Here is a 5,581-nt window from a genome sequence, read left to right on the forward strand (position 1 = left end):
GCAACAAATAGAAAAATAGAAAAATTGGACTTCATCAAATTTTAAAACTATTGTGTTTCAAAAGACACTTTTAAGAAAGTGAAAAGACACCCCACAGAATGGGAAAAAATACTTGCAAATCACATATCTCATGAGAGATTTGTATCTAGAATAAATTATGAGTTCTCACAACTCAATAAAAGATAAAAAAAACCCAATCTGTAAAATGGGCAAAGCGCCTAAATAGACATTTCTCCAAAGGAGATGTACAAATGACCAATAAGTGTATGAAAAGATGCCCAATGTCACCAGTCATCAGAGAATGACAAATCAAAACCACAAAGAACTACCACTTCCAATTCACTAGGATGACTTAGATAACAAGTATTAATGAGAATACAGAGAAACTGGAACTCCCACACACTGCTGGTGGGAATGTAAAATGGTGCAGCCACCTCAAAAAAAAAAAACTTTCTGGCAGTTCCTCCAAAGGATCAACATAGAGTTATCCTATGACCCAGCAATTCCACCCCTAGCTATACACTCAAAAGGATTGAAAACAAATGTTCACACAAAAGCAAAACAAAAAAAATGTTTATTTTAGTAGCATTATTCCTAATAGGCAAAAAGTAGAAACAACCCAAATGTCCATCAAGTGATGAATGATCAAAATGTATTACATCCATGCAATGGAATATTAATCATCTATTAAAAAGAATGAAGTATTGATACACGCTACAACGTGGATGAACCTCAGAAACATTACGCCAAGTGAAAGAAGGCAGTCACAAAATATCATGTGTTCTATGATTCCATTCCTATGCAATGTTTGAATAACCAAACCTGTAAAGACAGAAAGGTCAGTAGTTGCCTAGAGCTGGGGAGCAGGAGGCAAGCGGAATACAGTGAGATGAGATGAAGTGAAATAGGATGAAATGAAATCATGCATCTTGTGCATTGACCCAGCAATGGAGAAGTGGGGGGCAGGCTGCAGGCTGGGGGCTGTCACTGGTCTGAAGGAGAGGATGTGGATTGTTGGCTACTCCATCTGACCTCCAATTTCTCTGTGGTGAAATGACAATAATGCCCTCATCTTTCCGGCCTCCCAGGGTTATCATGGAGATTGGTTGAGAGGAGTAAGTAGAAGAGATTAAAGGCCACAGAATGTTTTAGCACATGTAACAAATAAAGAGCCTTGGAACTTCACAGCCATTCATACTGTTCTCTTTGCCTGGAACATCCTCTCCCTCTTCTCCACCCAGACACTTAACAATCACTTCTGCTGTGCAGCCGTCCTTGGCAACCCAGACAGAGTGATGCCCTCCTGCAACAGGGCTGCCAGCAGGAGTGTACCCGACCTCCGTGTCATCACTTGTGCACACTGTGATAAGACCATGCACCTCTCGCAGACAGGACATGAGCTTTCACCTCTCTGTGTCCAGCCCACTGCTGACCACAGCACTGCAGGAGGATGAGCCCCTGCAGGAAGGAATGCTGGCTCTCTGGGGTAGATAAAGAAGGTTCTGGGGAAGGGAAGGGAGGAACAGGAACATGGGCTCCCTGCCAGGCTGTCCCAGGTCCGGGATGCCATCGGCAAGTGGGCGGGGACAGGCCTGGGTAGATGACATGGTAGTGAGTAAGTGGGGAGGCAGGCCAGCAGAGGAGCCAGGCTCACCTCCCGCCCGCCCACCTCGGCCACAGACCGGGAGGGGTCGGAGCACTGCGTTGGGGTTGATGAGCAGACGACTGCCAGGCAGCCATTCACAGGAAATGGCACAGACGCACATTGTTCCAGCTACCCCCCATCCTCCCTCAGGGGCAAAGTGAATGAGATACTCACCAAGGAAGCCGTTAGCAAAGGCGGACACTGATTCATGGTTTATAAGCAATGGTGAAGTCCTTTTTCCACTGGCTGCAGCCACGAATGGCCGAGAAGCTGTAAACAGTAACCGTAACCATGCATGAGCATCCCTACCTCGCTGTCTCCTCAACTCACCTCTCCAGCCCCGAGCGGGGTCACTGAGCATTGGAGAACTGCCCCGTAGCTTCTCACCTGCACGTTGGCAGTCTGCGTCCCCAGGAAACACACATGATCACTTTCTCAGACACCCAAGACCTGCATCAAATCTGCCAACTAAACTCTGGGAGGGGTGGCGAGTGGGCTGCAAGCCTGTTTCTTAGAAAGACAGTGAAGGAGAAGATAACAAGGCCTCAAGTTTGCCCAATAGGCTTTCTGGACAGCAGCATGGCCGGGAACTTGGTGGCAATAAGGTTGATGGCATCATTGCTTTACTCATTCATTCATGCCACTAAGCTGTCCCTGAGAGCTACCATGTGCCAGACTGTGCCATGGGCTAAAGGTACAGAAGGTACAGAACACAGATGGCTGCGTGTGACTCTTAGTGCAGGGGAAGGACTTTGCACTCTCAGGACATCCTCTGCACCCTTTTGCCACCTTCAGACTCCCAAGGAAGGAAGCCCATCCAGGTGCCGCCAGAGAGAGGTGCCTGGTAATCATGTCTATTGATGGCAACCACAGTGGAGATCCCGGAGCACAGGAGAAAAAAGCCCAGGAACCTTCCCTTTCCAGAATTGTCTGGGCCAGGCTGAGCTGCCCGGATGGCTTACAGCTCTGCACTCTGTATCATGGCTAAGGATGAGGGCTGTGATGGGTGATGGCCACATCATTGGCTACTCCCCCTCCAGCCCCTAGGATTCATTGTCCACGGGAGAGCCCATCTCCCAGCTGCTGCAGGTGCTGCTAAGCGCTCGCACAGGTAGCCTTCCCTGGAGAATCATCCCTAAGCAACAGCGGCCCCTCCCCAGAGGTCCCAAGAACTATGTCTCCCTCCAGAGAAGGCCCAAAGCCAAAGACTGGCAAAGGGAAGGCTGCCAAGCACTACAGGGCAAATCTAATGAATGCCCCTGAGCAACATGAGAGCCGGCTCGGCTGCACTTCCCCTGCACACCCCTTGCCCCACTTCCTCCCCGACCTCTCCCGCTCCCCTCCCTCCTGTGCTAGCTTCTCCCACAGCATCCATATCCCTTGATCAGTCACTTGCACTGAGAATTTGTCTCAGGCACTGTTTCCACGGAGCCAGACCTAAGACAGGTGTAAGCCAGAGGGTCTGGATCAAATCCCAGGTGTGATAAGTCACCGGGGGCCAAGTACTCAACCTCACCAGATCTCACTGTCTTTCTCTGTAAAATAAGGATAATAGTCACACTTGCACATAAGGGTGCAGTGCAGAGTGCATGCGTGCATAACACTTAAAGTAATTGGAACACACCTGGCCCATCAAAAGCACCTGGAGGAGACATCAGTTCTTACCACTGTAGCCAGAAGGTTGTCTCTCTGAGCTACAAATAAGACACTGGACACCCATTTAGTCAACCTTCTACAGACGATCACAGCCCAACCCAATCAAGCACCTACGTTTCACATTAGGCATGTCCATTTCAGGGTGTCTTATCCAGCGGCTGAGTTTGAAGGATCATTTTCAGGGTGAAAATTGGAAGAACTGATGAAGCTCACAAAAGCAAATAAATAAGCACGGCTTTTGCAGGATGCTTCCAGCAGAGCAGTGCTGGCAAGCCTGGCTGCCTGTCAGAGCCACTGGGGGGCTTATTAAAACTGCTAGCTCCCCTCCACCACCATCCCCCACCCCTTCCCTAGCTCCGCCCCTGAAGGTCTAATTCAGTCTAGTCAGCTGGAGTCATAAAAGCCTTCCTGGAGAAGAAGACACCTAATCTGGGTCTGGAAGGATGTGTGGGAGTTGTTCAAATGGAGCAGCCGTGCGGGGGCAGGACATCCCAGCACAGGGGACTGTGAGAGCCACGACGTGGGCCCTGGAACCCTGTGGTAGATGCAGAGAACCACAAACATTTCCGTACGGCTAGAAAGCGAGTGGGGGTGGCAGGAAGTGGTGGGAGGGGCTCACGATGCCAGTAATGACCATATTCAGGGGTGCTCCCGAGCCCTCCTTCCTTATGCCCCACGTGCTCCCACATCACCCCAGGAGATAATAAACGAAGGCGTGCACATGGGGGTCAGGCCCCTGGGAGTCAACAATGACTTCGGAGACCTCAGAGAGTCTGCAAGAAGCTTCCCTGGCTGCGTCCCTTGCCCCTTTAGGACCTGTAGGGGCCGTCTTTGCTGGGTGAGGTGCAGCTGAACTAAGGGTGAGCTGCTTTCCTCTGCCACCACAGGACTCAAATCCCATGGGGCCCCAGAGCAGGTGGACGGTGGTCCCCTGGCTTCTGCATGGCTGTGCCAGCCCACCCTTACAGGGACAGCATCACAGGCAGCAGAACTTCCAGCATTCTCAAAGGAGCTAGAAATTCCACCTTTTTTGTGAGATTTGAATTTTTACATGTTGGAGCAAATTTTTTCTCTGAAGCAAAACACATTTGCAGAGTCGTGACCTCTGCCAGGGAAGTGGGACAGAAGCTGGAGCCAGAAGACCTGAGGACAGGTCTCAATTCTGTCCCCTGGCTCACCAACAAGGGAGGGGTGGGCCACAGGGTCTTTCAGTGCCTTCCCAGCTGGACATTTCTGACCTCTCCTCTTCTCCTCTCCAAAATAAAAAAAAAAATCCTTAAATTTTCTAACCACCTCGGTGTAATTTTACTAGAGCATTAACTGAATTATAAATGTGTCTATTCAAACAAGGGCCTGGCCAGTGAAATTTTAACCAACTACCTGATTTCCAACTGTTTTCCATTGACCCATATATTAAAATAGTAGAAGGCCTTGGTCTCATGAGGCTTCTGGAGAAGCCTGCACGCAGCAGGAATGACACCCTGGTTGTGGAATTTCACTAGGCAACAGGCTCCAAACAGAAAATGTTAGCACTTTTGAGGACAAATAGTGTTTCTGGTACACTCTCTCCCCACCCCTTTCCTTTATCTAGTTTCTGCTCTTTCTTTGCTCTTTTATTTTTACTACTCCTTTTAAGAGTTCGTGTGTATTTTTACTAAACTTCAGTAGTACATATCCCCTCGCCAAAATGCTCCCTTCTCACTTTACACACTGCTGAAAATTATCATGCTGGCCCCTTCCTTGGAGTACAGTTCTGCCCTGTTGAAATGCTCACCCAGGAGGGGGCACCGAATTCCTGCTTTGTCACCAGGGACTGGGTGTTCAAAGAGTCGTTCATGGGGTGGGGCGTGTGGCCATGCCAGATAGCTGGTCAACCCCGGAGGAAGGCCAGCCCCAGGAGGGAGCAAGTGCAGTGTAGGGTCCAGCCAAGGGTTTATGAGCCTGAAGATTGGTTCAGGCAGCGGCGCCATCCTAAGGGAAAAACAGATACACCTCGAAGAGAAGCTGCTCCACCACTGCACCTGCTCTGTGCCACATGGAGGGTAAATGTCTGCTAAATGAACGCAAATGAAGAGGTCACCCCTTCATACTGTTGACTATCCCACCTGTGAGGGCCCAGGAGCAGAATGGTCACCTGGAGATCCAACAAGGTGGCTGTTTCCTTCATAGTCATCAGTAAGACTCTGCAGAAAACTCACTCCGCAGGGATTAGGCCAAAAAGAGGATGTGTCAGGAGTTTACAGGGTACCCTGGGTTGAATGGTGGCCCCAGAAAGGTATA

The 5,581-nt window shown here is 49.7% G+C and overlaps 1 annotated feature.

The window, feature by feature from the left end:
- Positions 1,668-2,174: an enhancer, noted in NCBI's record as "H3K4me1 hESC enhancer chr2:238341552-238342058 (GRCh37/hg19 assembly coordinates)". NCBI's record gives its function as "activates a minimal SCP1, AML or CMV promoter by ChIP-STARR-seq in naive H9 embryonic stem cells {active_cell/tissue: H9 hESC(naive)}" and the evidence as "EXISTENCE:reporter gene assay evidence [ECO:0000049][PMID:30033119]".

This window comes from Homo sapiens, chromosome 2 (genome assembly GCF_000001405.40).
Source record: "Homo sapiens chromosome 2, GRCh38.p14 Primary Assembly".
Classification (NCBI taxonomy): domain Eukaryota; kingdom Metazoa; phylum Chordata; class Mammalia; order Primates; family Hominidae; genus Homo; species Homo sapiens.